This window comes from Homo sapiens, chromosome 12, assembly GCF_000001405.40.
Source record: "Homo sapiens chromosome 12, GRCh38.p14 Primary Assembly".
Taxonomy (NCBI): Eukaryota; Metazoa; Chordata; class Mammalia; order Primates; family Hominidae; genus Homo; species Homo sapiens.
Window position 1 is genome coordinate 124,616,490 of NC_000012.12, and position 17,811 is coordinate 124,634,300.

Here is a 17,811-nt window from a genome sequence, read left to right on the forward strand (position 1 = left end):
CCATGCCTTGGAATGGCTCAACTATCTGGGAATGCAGCCCAGTAGGTTTCAGCCTCATTTTACCTAGCTACATTCAAGATGGAGTTGCTCTGGTTCAAACACCTCTGACACATCCTTGGGTAGTTTTCACATCAGGATATTGAATGATGCTGCTATAACCATCGGTGCACAGATAGCTGCTTGCATCCAGGGCTGCTGTCAGATTTTGGCTGGGGACCGTAGCCAGGCCGGTGCCGACAGTGTGGGAACATCAATAAGCGGGCGGATGTGTGCTGCTCCTCACACTTTCATTCTCAAGGATGATTCCTTGTCTGTTTCATGAAAGTCATTGATTTGTTCAAAGGAGATCTGTTGAGCCCCGTTTCCCCTTTTGAAATGCAGTTTGTGAAACTGAAATGCAGTTATCCGGGCAAGGGCAGCCCTTGTCGAACGGGAAGCAGAGCTTACTTCTCCCTTGCTTCAATCCTTCCTGTCCCTTCCCTTTGCTCTTAGAACAAAATCTAGACTCCCCTGGCAGCCTGCGTAGCCCTGCGTGTCGGCCTCCGCCCTCCCCTCCCGCCTCACCCTTACTCACACTTCTACCCCTCCACATCTGCCCTCTCGTTCCTTGAACACGCCAAGCCCATTCCAGCCCTGGGGCCTTTGCACATGCAGCTCCTCTGCCCGCCTTGCTCATCCCCCTGGTTTGCTCATGGCTGCCTTCTCAGAAAGTGCTTCCCAGCACCCCCTGCCCCCGGGGCTAAAGTCACAGTCACCTCTTGCAGTCCCTCCTTAGCCCTCACCTGGGTTTCATGACTGCATAGCACCGCTCACAAATGCAATTCTCATGTCCCTCTCCTCGATGACAGGGAGCACAGGGGCCGTGCCTCTGGTCCCCTGCTCTCACCCCAGTACCTGGCCTTTAGTTGGAGGTCAGTGGCTGTTGGTTGAATGAATAAGTGATCCCCTAATACGAGGTTGCAAAGGAGGTATTAAGATCTGCATGTTTCAGATAGAGACACTGAGGCTCAGGGTCACAGCAGGTAAACAGAGGCTCCAGCGTTGAACCCCGGGTCACCTGCCCTCTCCCAACCCAGCGCTGTCTTGGGGAACAGGGTGAAGCTCAGGAGGAGCCCCCCAACCCCGGCGTGCCCCCATTTTGCCTCCTCAGAAGGCCCTGCAGCTGGCCTTTCCTGGGAGGCGCAGAGCCCACAGAGCCCAACTCTGGTGGCAGAATTAGCCTGTCCTCGGGCTGCGCTGGCTCCAGTCCCAGTGAGGTGGTGACTGTCACTCTCCATAGGAGAGGACGCCTCTCGCCATGGCAACGGGGACGTCACCAGGGACGTGTTTGCCGGAGCACAAAAGAGGGTGTCGGGGAAACACCCGCACTCTGGCGGCAGAAACACAGTGCACGGCCTCACTCCCCATCTGGGGATGGCTGCTGGGAGGTGACCGAGCCTCCCTAGGCAGCCGGGGCCCTCCTCAGCCCTCGTGCTTGCCTTCCAAAGAGCTGTGGCTGTTTTCTCCGCTCCCCTGCGGTGGAGAAGGAAGAGGGCACATCGCTGGAGGCATCTTGTCTGTGCCTATGCAGTTCTGACTGCGTTTGTGCCCCTTCGATTCACGCCCATTGCACAAATGGGGACACTGAGGCAATGAGAGGCGAGGAGACTTGCCCAAGACCTGCAGGCTCCGTCAGGGGCAGGGTCACCGGTGCGGCTTCAGAGGCAGGGCTGGCTGGGGTTGGAATCCCTGCCTTCCCACTCATCAGCTCTGTGTCCTTGGGCAAGTCACTGTCGCCTCTGAGCCTCAGTGTTCTCATCCGTAAAATAGGGAAAATAACAGTTTCCAGGGCCATCGTTCACCTTTTTTTTGTTAAGTATGCCATCCAGGTGTTTTCAGGATATTCAGAAAAATGTGATTCATTGGGATATTGCACAACCATCACCACTACCTAATTCCAGAGCATTTCCATCACCCCCAAAGGAAACCCCACATGCATTAACAGTCACCTCCCGTTCCCGTTCCCACCTCCCCCAGCCCCGGCAACCACCAACCCACATTCTGTCTCTATGAATTTGCGTATTCTGAACATTTCATATAAATAGAATCGTACACGAGACCTTTTGTGTCTGACTTCTTTCACCTGCGTCGTTCTCGAGGTTCATCCGTGCCGTAGCGTGAGCCAGGGCTGCGTTCCACCTTATGGCTGAATCATACTCCACCCCATGGACGGACCACGTCGTGTTTAACCATCATTAGCTGATGGACGCCTGGGTTGCTTCCACCTGTTGGCTCTTGTGAGCAATGCTGCTGTGAACATGTGTGCTGTGAGTTTCTGGGTGGACGTATGTTCCCATTTCTCTTAGGCAGACTCTCTGGAGTGAAATGGCTGGATCATACGGTAGGTCTAGGTTAAACTTTTTAAGAAACCGCTGAACTGGCCAGGCACAGTGGCTCACGCCTGTAATCCCAGCACTTTGGGAGGCCGAGGTGGGTGGATCATTTGGGGTCAGGAGTTCAAGACCAACCTGGCCAACATGGTGAAACCCCGTCTCTACTAAAAGTACAAAAATTAGCTGGGCGGTAGTGGGGCACACCTGTAATCCCAGCTACTCAGTGAGGCTGAGGGAGGAGAAACGCTTGAGCCTGGGAGGCGGAGGTTGCAGTGAGCCGAGATTACGCCACTGGGTAACAGAGCGAGACCCTATCTCAAAAAAAAAAAAGAAGGAAAGAAGAAAGAAAGAAAGAAAGAAAGAAAGAAAGAAAGAAAGAAAGAAAGAGAGAGAGAGAAAGAGAGAGAGAGAGGGAGAGAGAAAGAAAGAGAGAGAGAAAGAAAGAAAGAAGAAAGAAAGAAAGAAAGAAAGAAAGAAAGAAAGAAAGAAAGAAAGAAAGAAAGAAAGAAAGAAAGAAACTGCTGAACTGTTTTCCAAATCTTGCATCCCCGAGACAGGGGATGAGAGTTCCAGTTGCTCAATATTTTTGCCAATACAATACCCAGCACACCATCGTCGCACACCACCGTCGTTCCATCAGAGAAGATGCTTTTGAAGATGCTGAAAGTCATTAAAGACCCCATACATGATTCCCGGCAGCCCACAGATGGATGCAACTCAAGTATCCAGTGACAGACTATGGGTAAACAAAAGGTGGCGTATCCATACAATGGAATACGACGCAGCCTTGAAAAAGGAAGGATATTCTGACACGGGCCACAACATGGATGAGCCTTGAGGACACTGTGCTGAGTGAAATAAGCCAGCCACAAAGGGACAAATACTGTATGATTCAATTTATGTACAGGTTGGACTAGTCCAACCTTAGAATAGTCAAATCCACAGATACAGAAAGTAGAATGGTGGGAGCCAGGGGCTGGCAGGAGCCAGGTGGAGAGTTGGTGTTTAATGGAGACAGAGTTTCAGTTTGGGAAGATGAAAAAATTCTGGAAATGGATGGTAGTGGTTGCACAACAATGTGACTGTCCTTAATGCTACCAACCTGTATACTTACAAATTGTTAAAATGGTAAATTTTATGATATATATTTTTTATCACAATAAGAAAATGTAGCATCCTTTATTTTCCACTCCAGCGAACTGTTGTTTAGTTCAAATCCTGTCTACCATGTAGTGGGGACCACATTGCACCCTCTGGGCCTGAGTAATCCGGGGAAGGCCTGTGATCCACTTCTGGCCAGAAACGTGAGGGAAGTATGCTGGCGGCTCCTGGGAAAAAGGTCTCACTAGAAAATGAGAAGGTTACAGGAAGAGAGGTTTGGTCCCTTTTGCCTCCTTCCCACCTCACCTTCCTTCCTGCCTTTGGATGTCATTGTGGGATGAAGTGATGTCTGCAGCTGTGGCAGCCATGGTGCCACCATGAGGAGAAGGCTAAGAGAATTGCAGAGATGCCAGCCCTGTATCCTGACACTGAGGAACTAGTGAACCCACCTGGGCTATGCCTGCTTCTCAATGTCCTCCGAAATAAACAATGAATGACCTTATGCTTTAAGCCACTGTGAGCCAAGGTTTTTGTTACTTGTAGCCAAGTGCCTCCCTAATGGATTCAATACACTCCTGCTTCTACGGACCTGGTGATATAGGGTTTGGGACAAGAGCTTTTTTTTTTTTTCTTGAGATAGGGCATCACTCTTTCACCCTGGCTGGAGTGCACTGGCGCAGTCACAGCTCCCTGCAGCCTCAGACTCCTGGACTCCAGCAGTCCTCCCGCCTCGGCCTCTCAAGTAGCCAGGCCCACAGGCACACCACCATGCCTGGCCAATTTTTAAAATTTTTTCTATAAAGACAGGGTCTTGCTATGTTGCCCAGGCTGATATTACATTCCAGGCCTTAAGCAATCCTCCTGCCTCAGGCTCTCAAAGTGCTGAGATTACAGGTGTGAGCCATTATGCCCAGCCAGGACAAGAGGCTTTGGATCCACCACGCCTGGGCTTGTATCTCAGCTCCTGACAGCTATGTGGCTATGAGTAAATTGGTCCACCCCTCTGGGCCACAGGTTTGCTAACTGCCAGATGAAGACAGTAGTGCTATGTGCTTTGTAAAGTAGATGGTGTGAGGCTGAATGCGTTATGGGATGTATGCATGTGCCTGGTACACAGTAAGAGATTAATTACACAGTAAGAGATTAACCAGTCTCTTCCATGGGACTCAGGATGACGCTTTTGCTGGGGAACGGTGAATCAACGGCCTGCTGCGGGCTCTGTCTGGGTGGAGGCTGGCTGGCCCAGCCACAGTCCCAGGGGCTGTGCCGCTTTCCCAGCTGACTGATGCAGAGGCCGCAGAGGCCTTGGGCTGCCGTCTGGGGAAGAGACATTGATCCAAGGTTGATTTGGGATTTTATTTTCCCTTCCCCTTTAACAAAAGCACGGAGTGTTTCCTTCAAGCAGGCTCATCAGTTCTTAGCCCAGGTACAGCCTTCCAGCTGGAGAGGAGTCAAGCATTCCTCTTTGCTGAGTTCAAGGTTGGCCCCTCTGTGCCGCCAGCGCTCAAGGATCCCCTGGAATGAACCCGAGTCGCAGCATTGCAGGAAGGCTGTGGTATGCGGGAGGGAGGCCGCCCTGCCAAGAGGACAAGCGGAGGCGGGATTTGGGCAGGATCACCTACCGAGGTGCCCACTACCCTCAGGAATCGAAGATCAAACAGACAAGACAACCTTGCTGGTGGCCAGCAGCCTAGGGTCCCCTGAGGATGTGCGGGGCAGGGGTTGGCAACTTCGATCACATTAGTAAGGCTGAGCTCATCTCCCAGCTGTCCGGAAACTGGGCCACCAATCTTAAATCCATTCCCCAGGCACCTCACTGAGGCCCAGAGAGATTTGGGGAGGATCTTGGAGGCAGTCGCAGCGCCCCCACAGAAGTGGGAAGTCCCAGTGGCCTGCTCCGTGGAATCAGGGCAAGTTGGCTCCTTGGCAAGATGGCAAAGCCCTGTGGCAATGAGGACTGTGGGCCCCACCCCGCCTTGTCCACCTGGCCTTCCTCAGTCTCTTCCACCCCCACCCCCAGTCCAGCCACTCTGTGCCGTCTTCTCTTAGGGCTTCTAAGACCAACATCCCTTTCACTCCATCCTCCAGGATGTGATTCTGAGCAACGTTTCCGCCCTAAGGAGTGGGGGCCTCTGCTTCTTGTTTAAATAATAAAGTCAAATCCTAATGCAATATGGGAAAAAACAAGGATGTGGGAAATCCTGGGGCCCCCAGAGAATGGGGAGGTGTGGCAGGGCCCCCACAGTGGAGGGCATTGAAAGCCGAGCAGAAGCCCCTGGACTGAGTTGGGAGGCAGTGGAGAGCCATGCACAAGCTCCACGTTGGGCTTGTACCCTCTGCTCCAGGCACACAGGCTTCCTATGACCCTCAGACATGCCTGCTCGGGTCCTGCCTCAGGGCCTTTGCACCCGTACCTGCTCAGGTCCCGCCTCAGGGCCTTTGCACCTGCATCTGCTCAGGTCCTGCCTCAGGGCCTTTGCACCTGCACCTGCTCAGGTCCTGCCTTAGGACCTTTGCACCTGCACCTGCACCTGCTAGGGTCCTGCTAGGGTCCTGCCTCAGGGCCTTTGCACCTGCAGTTCTTGGGGCCTGACATGCTCTTCCCCAGCTCTTGGCTTGGCTCCAGTGACAGGGTCACCTCCTCAAACAGGACATCCCCAGCAGCCTTTCTAAAGCGGCCCCGCCCTTCTCCTCTCTTCCTCATCATCTCAGTTCACAGAGTTCACGTCGCCTCTCACTGCCTGGGATGGCCTTGCCTGTCTGTCTGTGGCCTGTCTCCTTTCTGTTATAGCCCAGCTCCTGGGACAATAGGATGAACAAATGAAGGAGTGAATGAATGATGGAGCTGGGTTTGGGGGTTAATCACAGCAACACGCATGGCAATGTCTGGAGCCTGCAGGATGCCCTCCTATTCACACCCTGGGGGCCACTCCCCTGCAGCCCCAGTGTCTGCCTCTGCCCACACTCCAGCTGGGAGGCTCGCCGATGGCCCTGTGCCGGGAACTCCCGTTTCTGAGCCGGTACAGCAGCAAACTCTGTAGCGGTGCTCCCTGCCAGGTGCAGGCAGGAGCTGCAGGGACGCTTCTGAAGGGGCAGGAGGTCAGGATGGGAGGCAGGCACGCTCTTAGCTTCCCACTGGAGAACATTTCAGGGAAGCGACTTTTTGCCTGGAATGCCAAGGGCAGCCTCTTGTCCAGGGCACCGTGGGTCATTGTGCAGTGTGAGGTGAGGCCCTGGGGCTGCCTTCAACACCAGCCAGACCCCTCGCCAGGCAGGACACGAGAGAAGGCTGTGGGCTGGCAGGCTTAGCTAAGAAGTTCACTGAGAGGAATCTTCAGAGCTGGAGGGATGACACAGAAGTCCCCAGTGGTCAGCAGGTGGCCATGGGAAGGACCCAGGCCTGGAGGAGAGGTGGGACGGGGGTGGTCTAAGTCCCTTGTAACAGATGGCATTTTCCAGAGACAGCCTCTGCAATTTCTCCCATCCCACAAGATATTCTTCCCATATGACCTTTACCTCCCACTGCTGGAGAGTGGGGTTTATGTTCTCTCCCTCCTGAATCTGAGCACGTTCATGACTCACTCACAACTAATAGAATGTGGCAGAAGAGACGCTGCGTGGCCTCCAAGGCTAGGTCACAGAAGGTGATGCAGGTGCCTTCGTGCTATAGCCCTGAGATGCTGTGTAAGCATCTGACTGCCCAGGGCCGCCATGTTGTGAGGAAGTCCAAGTAGCCCGAAAGGGGGCTGTGGGTTGGTGTTGTGGCAGACAGTCCAGATACGTCCCAGCCCCCAGCCAGCTCCAACTGCCAAACAGGCACTTCCAGAAGGCCCTGGCATCCTGGAATAGAGACAAGACATCTGTGCTGTGCCTTGTGTGATTCTGAGCCATAGGATCTGTGAGCGTAATACGATGGCTGCTGGGCGCCCTAATGTTTTGAGGGATTCCTTACACAGCACAAGTACCCTGGCAACCGTGGCTCCACCTCCAGCCAGGCGTTATCACTGGGCTCCCTGTCTTCCTCTGCCCACCCGGCCAGCAAGTCAGGCCCTCCTCTGTTTAGAACTCCTTGGTGTCAGCCTGGCTTTGCTGCTTTCCCCAGGGGTAGGAAATGAGCCTTTCATTGAATTTCGTAACATGGCTCTTTGCTGTCCTCTCACCCACCTGGTGAGAGAATGAAATCTCAGAGAGGTTCCAAGAGGCCACCTTCTCTGCCCAAGGTTGAAATGACCAGAGTAGACTTAAGCCTTCTAGAATGTATGGTAAGGGCTTCTGTGGCCTTTTGTTGTTGCTGGTCTTTGCTGATGACAATCACAGCCACAACGAGCATGCAGCAGCAGCAATGACATAGACCTTCCACTGTGGCAGCTGCTGGCTAAGCAGTTCGCATGCACCTCATCTGCCTACGCTCATGGTCCACGCTGATGTGGTTCTTGGAGGCAATCCCTTACCAAGTGTAGGCAAGGGAGCCTGCAATGGTCAGGATAGGCCAGGTTATACTGTGGTAACAAACAACCTGGCGATTTCAACAGCTCAGCACACAGAGGTTTCTTGTCACTCACACTGCATGTCCATTGTAGGTAAGCCTGGGCTCTGCTCCATGTTGTCCTCACAGCAGGACCCAGCCACCTGCTGGAACATCACTGGCCACTGTGACAGAAGGAAAGAGAGCTCTGGAAAGTCTTGCACTGGCCAGTGTGTGCCCAGCCTGGATCCATCACTTCCACTCACACTCATGCAGTGCCCCCTACCCACCAAGGGTCGGGAAGTGCCTGGAAAAGGAGAACTGGAACATTGATGAACAGCCCTGTGATGGTCTGCAAAGGCACAGTGGCTGCTACCTGGCTCCAGCATCCCCAAGGCCTCAGCCAGTTGTTCCTCCCTCCCCACCCCCCGGCCCTGCCCGGCTCTGCCATTTTCCCCTGGGGCACTAGGAGGGAGGGGCACTCACCTTCACAGAACCCACCTGTGGTAGGCAGACTAACAGCCCCGCAAAGATATCCACATCCCACTCCCCAGAACCTGAGAACATGTTACCATCCACGGTGCAGTGCACTGCCAGGGCCACCGTGACAAAGCACCGCAGACAGGGGTTGGGGTTAGAGCAGGCGGGGAATGCTAAACAACCGAAACGCCTTCTGAGTCTAGAGGTCTAAGATCAAGGTGTCAGCAGGGTTGGTTCACTCCAAGGCCTCTCTCCTTGGCTTGCAGATGGCTGTCTTCTCCCTGTGTCTTCACACGGGCTTTTCTGGGTATGGCCATGCCCTAATCTCCTCTTCTTATAAGGACATCAAAGCAGGGCATGATGGCACATGCCTGTAATCCCAGCACTTTGGGAGGCTGAAGTGGGAGGATCACTTGAGCCCAAAAGTTCAAGACTAGCCTGGATAACATAGCAAGATCCCATCTCTTTAAATTTTTTTTTAAAATTAGATGTGGTAGTGTGTGCTTATAGTCCCCAGCTATTCAGGAGGCTGAGGTAGGAGGATTGCTTGAACCCAGGAGTTCAAGGCTGCAGTGAGTTCTGATGGTGCCACTGCACTCCAGGCTGGGCCATGGAGTGAGACCTTGACTCAAAAAAAAAAAAAGGACACCAGGCCTATTGGATTAGGGCTCAACCTAACGAACCCATTTTAACCTAATCACCTCTTTAGAGACTCGGTCCTCGAATACAGTCCCATTGTGAGATACTGGGGCGTGAGAGCTTTAGGATGTGAGTTTGGGGTGGGAAATACAATTCAATCCATGGTGAAGGGGCTCCTGCAGAGGGGATGAAGTTATGGATTTTGCGATAGGGAGATTATCTTGGATGATCAAGGGGCCCATTGTCATCGCAAAGATCTTATAAGAGGGAGGCAGGAGGGTTAGAGTAGGAGAAGGTGGAAGAGAAGAAGAAGAGATGGTGGAAACAGAGGTCAGGGCAATTCCGCCACCAGCCAAGGAGTGTGGCAGCCTCTAGAAGTTGCAAGAGGAAAGGAATGAAGCCTCCTCTGGACCCTCCAGAAGGAACCAGCCCTGCCAGTGCCCTGACCTCATCTCCATAAGCTCCACTGGGACCTTCTGCCCTCCAGAACGGGGAGATAACAATATTGTGTTGCTTTAAGCCTCTATGTTTGTGGTGATTTGTTCAGCAGCAATAGGAAATCCACACGTCATCCAAATGCCCTCCTTTACAGAAAGCTTCTGAACCCGCTCTTGCCTCGGTTGGCAAACTTCTGCCCTCCACACTCCTCCTCCTCTGGGATGGGTGGGGACAAGTCCTTCACTGGGGTCAGGTTGCCCCAAAGCCTGTCTCCTGGACTTGGAGGCTGCTCCCTCCGACCTCGGCACCCCCCAAGGGCCAGAGGCCACCACCTCGAGCAGCCAGCGGGTAAGAGCCAGCCTGCAGGGTGGATACTAAATACAATAGGTCTGTGACCACACACGGCCCCACCCCCAGGGGCCCAGGCCCCGCTGACCTTCCCACCCCGGGGCACACCCAGCTGCTTCCTCAAAGCCACAGCCCTTTCCTCCAGCCCAGCCTTTGCCCTGGCCCTTTCCTCTTCTGCTCCTGACGTGCCTGACTCATCCAGCAAGTTCCAGCTCAGAAATCTCTGGGGGAGCCTGGTCCAGCCCCGTTCCATCCACCCCGCCCTGCTGGCTTCATTTCATTTCATGCACTCAGTAGATGGGCACACAGCTCTCCTCTGTTCTCCTCTGGAAGGCACAGGCAGAGCCCTCACCTCAGGACCTCCAGAAGCTGACAATTGGTCGGCGGGAGCAGGGTAGGGGGTTGGGTGGGAGCCTGTGACATGTTTTAATGAAGTGTAGACATTTTAAATATACAATTCAAAGACTTTTTTAAAAATCTTAAGTACATATGTTTTTAGAGACAGGGTCTCACGCTGTGGCCCAGGCTGGAGTACAGTGACACCATCATAACTCACTGCAGCCTCGAACGCCTCAGCTAAAGCAATCCTCCCGCCTCAGCCTCCCAGCCTCCCAAGCAGCTGGCAGTGCAGATGTGCACCACCATACTCAGCTAATTTAAATTTTTTTTTTTTTTAGAGATGGGATCTTGCTGTGTTGCCCAGGCTGGTCTCAAACTTTTGGGCTAACGCAATCCTCCCACCTCAGGCTCCCAAGGCATTGAAATCACAGGCATGAGCCACCGCACCCAGCCATGGGACTTCTGATGAAACTGTATCATGCAGCCATCACCCCCATCGACACAGAGGACTCTTCCCTCATCCCAAAGCTGCTTTCCCAGCCAATCGATTGGCCTGACAATGTGAGGGGTGCTTTGTCTTTTCAGGAGTTTGCTCTTGATGGAATCCTGTGCTGTGAACTCTCTAGGCCTGGCTTCCTTCCCTTTGCACAGGGCTCAGCAAAATACAGGCCTCCCGGGGCCAGATCTGGCCTGTTGCCTGGTTTGTAGGACCTGCAGGCCAAGAATGGTTTTTACTTTTGTTTTTGTATTTTAAAAAATAATAAATAGACTTTTTAAAATACAGTTTTTTGTTTACAGAAAAATTGAGTAGACAGTATAGAGAATTCCACATGCACACACACTCAATTCCCACCCCCCCAACCCGGTACACAGTTTCCCCTGTTATTCATATCTTGCATTCGTGTGGTACACTTGTTACAATTAAGGAATCAATATTGACACAGCACTATGAACTATAGTCCCTAGTTTACATTGGGGGTCACTCTTGGAGTTGTAGGGTTCTATAGGTTTTAAGAACCGTACCGGCCGGGCGCAGTGGCTCACACCTGTAATCCCAGCACTTTGGGAGGCCGAGGCGGGCAGATCACGAGGTCAGGAGTTCGAAACCTGCTTGACCAACATAGTGAAACCCCTTCTCTACTAAAAATACAAAACTTAGCTGGGTGTGGTGGCGGGCACCTGTAATTCCAGCTACTCGGGAGGCTGAGGCAAGAGAATCACTTGAACCCAGGAGGCAGAGGTTGCAATGAGCTGGGACCACGCCACTGCACTCCAGCCTGGGCAACAGAGTGAGCGTCTGTCTCAAAAAAAAAAAAAGAAAAAAAGAAAAAAAGAAAGAAAAAGAAAAAGAAATGTACCATGACGTAGTCCCCATTGTAGCATCATGCAGAGATTCACTGCCCTAAAAGTCCCCTGGCCTCCATCTTTTCATCCCTCTTTCCCTCTCCTCAGTCCCCTGGCAGCCACTGATCTTTCTACTGTCTCTATAGTTTTGCCTTTTCCAGAATGTCACATAGTTGGAATCATAGCATGCAGCCTTTCAGAACGGCCTCTTTCACTTAGTAATATGCATTTAAGTTTCTTCCATGTCTTTTTGGGGCTTGATAGCTCACATCTTTTTAGCACTGAGTAATAGTCCACTCTCTGGATGTGCCACAGTTTGTTTATTCATTCACCCTTTTTAAAAAAAAAATTATTTATGTATTTATTTTTGAGATAGAGTCTCGCTCTGTCACCCAGGCTAGAATGCAATGGCACGATCTCAGCTCACTTCAACCTCTGCCTTCTGGGTTCAAGCGATTTTCCTGCCTCAGCCTCCAAGTAGCTGGGATTACAAGTGGGTACCACCACTCCCAGTTAATTTTTGTATTTTTAGTAGAGGCGGGGTTTCACCACGTTGCCCAGGCTGGTCTCAAACTTCTGGCCTGAAGGGATCCACCTGCCTCGGCCTCCCAAAGTGCTGGGACTACAGGCATGAGCCACGGGGCCTCAACCCTATTCACCTATTAAAGAGCATCTTGGTGGCTCCCAGTTTAGGGTGTTTATGACTGTAGCTGCTATGAACATTCATGTGCAAATTTTTGCATGGACGTAAGTTTTCAAATCACTTGAGTAAACACCTGGAAGTGTGATTGCTGGATAGTCTGCTAAGACTATGGTTAGCTCTCTGAGAAACCAGCAAACTGTCTTCCACAGTTGTTTAACTATTCTGCATTCCCACCAGCAGTGAGGGAGCGTTCCTGGGCGTTTGCATTTTATAGTGGTTGAAAAAACCAAAAGAAGAATATTTCATGACACATAAAAATTATATGAGATATGATTTTTAGTGTCCATAAATAGTTTTGTTTTTTTTTTTTTTTTTTTTTTTGAGACAAGGTCTTACTTTGGCACCCAAACTGGAGTGCAGTGGTGTGAACATGGCTTACTGCAGCCTCGACCTCCTGGGTTCAAGCAATCTTACCTCAGGCTCCTGAAGAGCTGGGACTATAGGCACGTGCCACCGTGCCTGGCTAATTTTTGTATTTTTTTGTAGAGACAGGGTCTCTATGTTACCCAGACTGGTCTCAAACTCCTGGCTCAAGCAATCCTCCCACCTTGGCCTCCCAAAGTGCTGGGATCATAGGCATATGTTGCTGCCCCTGGCCATAAATAAAGTTTTATTAGGACACAGCCATGCTCATTCACCTGTGTATTGGGTATGGCTTCTTTCATGCTACATAGGTAGAGTTGAGAGGCTGAAAAAGAGACTGGAGGCCCGCAAAGCCAAAGAAGTTTGACCCAGCCCTTTGTTTTTTCGGGGTTTTTTTGTTTGTTTGTGACAGAGTCTCGCTCTGTCACCCAGGCTGGGGTGCAGTGGCATGATTTCGGCTCACTGCAACCTCTGCCTCCCGGGTTCAAGCAATTCTGTTGCCTCAGCCTCCCAAGTAGCTGGGATTACAGGCGCCTGCCACCATGCCTGGCTAATTTTTGTATTTTTAGTAGAGACGGGGTTTCACTATGTTGGCCAGGCTGGTCTTGAACTCCTGACCTCAAGTGATCCACTCGCCTCAACCTCCGAAAGTGTTGGAATTACAGGCATGAGCCACCGTGCCCCGGGCTGACCCAGCCCTTTGGATAGAAGAGCCGTGCCAGCCCCTGCCTCAGCATGGTGGCTCTGGGAGTCATCCACGGCGCTGTGTGTATCAATAGGTTATCCCTTTCTAGTGCTGAGTGGGACTCCATGGCATGACTACACAACAATTTATCTGTTCAGCTGACGGACATTTGGACTGTTCCCAGTTTTTAGCTATTATGAATAAAGCTACTACGAGCGTTTGTCTGCTGGAATATGTAGGCCACATGCCTTTGCTTCTCTTGGGTGAATACCTAGGAGTGGAATTGCTAGGTCAGGACGCGCCACGTTGTACTTTGTGTCATATTGTCACATCTCAGGATACTATTTCTAACCAGTGCCCTTTTATCCCAGGAATTATTTGCCCCTTCCCTGTGCCTTCTGCCAAACTAGACTGTGTGCCATCCAATGCCCAGGGGAGGAAAAGTAGGAGAGAAAAGCGTAACAAATGTTACTCAGTTTCAGAAGCCAGTGCTTTCAGATTCCAAGAATCTGGGCTTTTGAGCTGCAAAACCTCAGCCAGGAAGAGTTCCAGATATCAATTTTATGGCAAAAACAATAGATTTGGGGGTGGGGGGAAGGATCTTACGTATAACGATGAAAGAGCCAGACTGCAAACCCAGGAGGAGATGATGGCTTTCCTGGGCTGGGTGAGAGAAGCAGGCTGTGGGCAGAGACCACTTGCCTCCATCAGAATCCGCTCTCCTTTCCTTTGGGAAAACAGCAAGACAGAGTTTCCCAGCCTCCTGTGCAGTCATTAGTGGCCATGGGGCCAAGCTCTGGGCAATGGAAGTTGAGTGAAGTGACGTGGGCCCCTCTCAGGCCTGACCCTCCAAGCCTCCCCTGTGTGCTCCTGGGTCCCTTTCTTTTCCACCAAGTGGAAGCTGTTGCAGCATTGAAGCTCTGGGGCACAGTGGACCCCAGGATGGCAGGAACCCTCCTCTACCCAAATGCCCACGCTGACCATGAACCGTTCTACAGGGAAGAGACTCTGTTGTGTAAAGCCGCTAGAGTGAGCCTCTGTACATCAAGGTACTGAACCTAAATCTCACTGGGTCAGATGGGAAACGTTGAGAGGGTGTAGCCACGTTTTGCTTCCAGCACTTATAGCTCTGTGGGAATGTGAGAGGCGTGTGAACCAGAGCAACTCCATCTTGAACAGGGGCCGGGTAAAATGAGGCCGAGACCTACTGGGCTGCATTCCCAGACAGTGAAGACATTCTAAGTCACAGGATGAGACAGGAGGTCAGGACAAGACACAGGTCATAAAGACCTTGCTGATAAAACAGTTTGCGGTAAAGAAGCCAGTAGAAACCCACCAAAACCAAGATGACCACGAGAGTGACCTCTGGGCGTCCTCACTGCTACACTCCCAGCGGCGCCATGACAGTTTACAAATGCCATGGTAACGTCAGGAAGTTACCCTATATGGTCTACAAAGGGGAGGCATGAATAATCCACCCCTTGTTTAGCATATCGTCAAGAAATCACCATAAAAATGGGCAACCGGCGGGGCACGGTGGCTCAGGCCTGTAATCCAAGCACTTTGGGAGGCCGAGGCAGGCGGATCACGAGGTCAGGAGGTCGAGACCATCCTGGCTAACACAGTGAAACCCCATCTCTACTAAAAATACAAAAAATTAGCCAGGCGTGGTGGCGGGCTCCTGTAGTCCCAGCTACTAGGGAGGCTGAGGCAGGAGAATGGCGTGAAGCCGGGGGCTGGAGCTTGCAGTGAGCCAAGATCGCACTGTTGCACTCCAGCCTGGGTGACAGAGCAAGACTCTGTCTCAAAAAAAGAAAAAAAAAGAAAGAAAGAAAAGAAAAAGAAAGAAAGGTATAAAATAGATTGTGCTGGCTCAGTTTAACACATCAAGGGCTGGATTTGCCTACGAGCCCCCAGTTTGTAACCTCTCTCCATTTATTTAATTAGTAAGCATTTACTGGGCGCTTACTGTGTGCCACACACAATTCTAGGCCCTGGACAACACAGATAAGGCACCTGGAAAATGGGTAGAGGGAGAGGAATTCCCCAGCAGGGACTCCCCAGGGACAGATGTGATGGGAAGTCTCGGCCGTGGGGCGCCCCTCTGCTGTGTGGCCCCCACACCGCCCTGGGCTGGTGGACAGGACTTCGGGGCCATTTTGTTCTCACCCAGCCTGTCTGTACTGTGCAAACCTCCGTCTCCTGGAGCTAAGGGGCTGCCTGGGCAGCCCAGAAGCCTCTAGGCCTCTCCAAAGATATACTGGGAAAAACTTTCCCTTGCTATTGCTCAGAATCGTTCAACTCCCAGCCGCTTGCTAATTACTATGCCCTTGAGCAAAAATGTTAATCTAAAAAACATAAAATTATAATGACTTACTTGACATAATTGGAACAAACAAGATGAGCAGGCAGGCGGCAAGCAGCAGGGGCTCCGGCATCAGCCCCCCAGCACCTTGCCAGCCTGGGGGCAGGGGACCCACCTGGGTGGGGGCGGGGGCAGAGCCCCCCTGGCCGGCGAGACTCATTGCCTTGTCAGGGGGCTGAGCGGTTCCGTTGGGTCTGCTCTGGCTTTGACTGAGGACTCATCCTAGATCTTGGCGTGGGGACAGCCAGCCTGGGTGGGCATCCTGCCTCCTATTGTGGGTCCCCAGGACAGTGACTTCCCTCTCTGTTCGCCCATTCCCTCGTCCATGAAATGGGGCTAACAGCATGTCCAGCACCTAGAGTTCTCCATGTCACCTGCTTGTAAATGCTGAGCTTAAAACACAGCAAGCACTCAGCAAACAATTACTGCCGTGAGTGAAGCTAATCTCCTCCAGGCCCATCTGAGGTGGGAGGAGAGAGGCCGGGGAGAGGGAGGATACGCTTCCAGCACACCCTGGTCCTTCCTCCCTCTCCTCTCTTTGCACAGGCCTGTCCCATGCCCAGCTTTAGCCATTAGGTCCTTACTTGAGGGGAGGCCTCCACACTCCCTGCCTGCCTGACTGGCTGGGCGTCCAGTGAGTTGGATTCCAGAGATCCTGGAGCCTGTGAGGAGGAGGAGGACGCAGAGGCTGGGGATCACATGATAAGAGATGCCCAGGAGACTTCATGAACGAACAGCCCAGCCCTTCTTGTCTCAGTAGATAAGATGGTGGGTGAGTGGGGCCCGCTCAGGGCTCAGGCATGCATCCCCAGAACCCGTGCCCATACCCCGAGAGCTCACACACCCACACCCAGACCTGTGTGCTTATGCATACACCCCAGAGCCTATGCACACACTTCCAGAGCTCACACACACACAGAAACACACACACCCAGACCTGTGCACACCCCCCCAGAGCTCATACACACCCATCCCGACCTGTACATACCCCCAGAGCTCATGCACACACCCCCAGAGCTCTCACACATACACTCAGACCTGTGTGCTCATGCACACACTCAGACCTGTGCATACATCCCAGAGCCCATTCGCATAATGCTAGGGCTCACACATACACCCCCAGAACCCATGCACACCCCAGATCTTGGCACACACCATAGAGCCCACACAACACACTCAGACCTGTGTACACATCCTGACTTCTACACACATTTTCAGACCTGTGCACACACTCCAGAGCCCAGGCATACACCCCAGAGCCCAAGAACACACCCCAGAGAACGATGCACACACCCCCGAGAACTATGCACACACCTCAGAGCTCACACACACCTCAGAGCCCAGGCACACACCCCAGAGAACTATGCACACACCCCAGAGCCCAGGCACACACCCCAGAGAACTATGCACACACCCTAGAGCCTCTTGTGGTTGCCCTTTGCCTGGAGCTCTCTGATTGGATAGTTGTAACAGTATGTTTTGGGCTGCAAGTAACAGAAAACTTAACTCAAAAATGGCTTTAACCAGGGGTCAACAAACTGCTGCTTATGGTCTGGCTCCTTGTTTTTGTTAATGAAGGTCTATAGGAATGCAGTTACGCCCACCCATTTCTATTGCCGATGGCTGCTTTCATGCAACAACGGCAAGCTGAGTCATTGCAATAGAGACCATGTGATCTGGAAAGCCTAAAATTATATTTAATGTCTGCCCTTTACAGAAAATTTTCACCGACCTCTGGCTTAAGCAATAAGGAAGACGTATTACTTCATATGATGAATGCTCAGAATGAAGGTGGCGTATTCGTTATCTCTGACTACACAACAAATCACCCCCCAAACTTGGAGGATTAAAGCAACAAGAATCATTCTCTACCTCATGGTTTCTGGGGGTAAGATCTCGGGAGTGGCTCCCCAGGGCGGTTTGAGCTCTGGATCTCTTGGAGGGTGCAGTCAGAGGGGCTGGTGGCTGGCAGTGTCATCTGGCTGCCGTCTTCATTTACAGTCTGACACCTGGGCTGGGCAGACTCAAACAGCTGGTCCTCCTCGGGCGTCGCTCTCCTGCTTGTGTGTTCATTTCAGCATGGTGGCTTCAGGAAAGCCAGACGTCTTTCCTGCAGTTCATGAGGGGGTCCCCTGAGTGTGTCCCAAGAGAGATCCAAGGAGAGGCCAT

General features: G+C 52.1%; 4 annotated features.

The window, feature by feature from the left end:
- Positions 5,177 to 6,069: an enhancer, noted in NCBI's record as "H3K4me1 hESC enhancer chr12:125106212-125107104 (GRCh37/hg19 assembly coordinates)". NCBI's record gives its function as "activates a minimal SCP1, AML or CMV promoter by ChIP-STARR-seq in primed H9 embryonic stem cells {active_cell/tissue: H9 hESC(primed)}" and the evidence as "EXISTENCE:reporter gene assay evidence [ECO:0000049][PMID:30033119]".
- Positions 6,070 to 6,963: an enhancer, noted in NCBI's record as "H3K4me1 hESC enhancer chr12:125107105-125107998 (GRCh37/hg19 assembly coordinates)". NCBI's record gives its function as "activates a minimal SCP1, AML or CMV promoter by ChIP-STARR-seq in primed H9 embryonic stem cells {active_cell/tissue: H9 hESC(primed)}" and the evidence as "EXISTENCE:reporter gene assay evidence [ECO:0000049][PMID:30033119]".
- Positions 16,570 to 17,769: an enhancer, noted in NCBI's record as "MED14-independent group 3 enhancer chr12:125117605-125118804 (GRCh37/hg19 assembly coordinates)". NCBI's record gives its function as "activates an origin of replication core promoter dependent on BRD2, BRD4, P300/CBP and CDK7 cofactors, and independent of MED14, by STARR-seq in HCT116 cells {active_cell/tissue: HCT116}" and the evidence as "EXISTENCE:reporter gene assay evidence [ECO:0000049][PMID:35650434]".
- Positions 17,074 to 17,123: an enhancer, noted in NCBI's record as "active region_7295". NCBI's record gives its function as "activates an Ori minimal core promoter by ATAC-STARR-seq in GM12878 lymphoblastoid cells {active_cell/tissue: GM12878}" and the evidence as "EXISTENCE:reporter gene assay evidence [ECO:0000049][PMID:35858748]".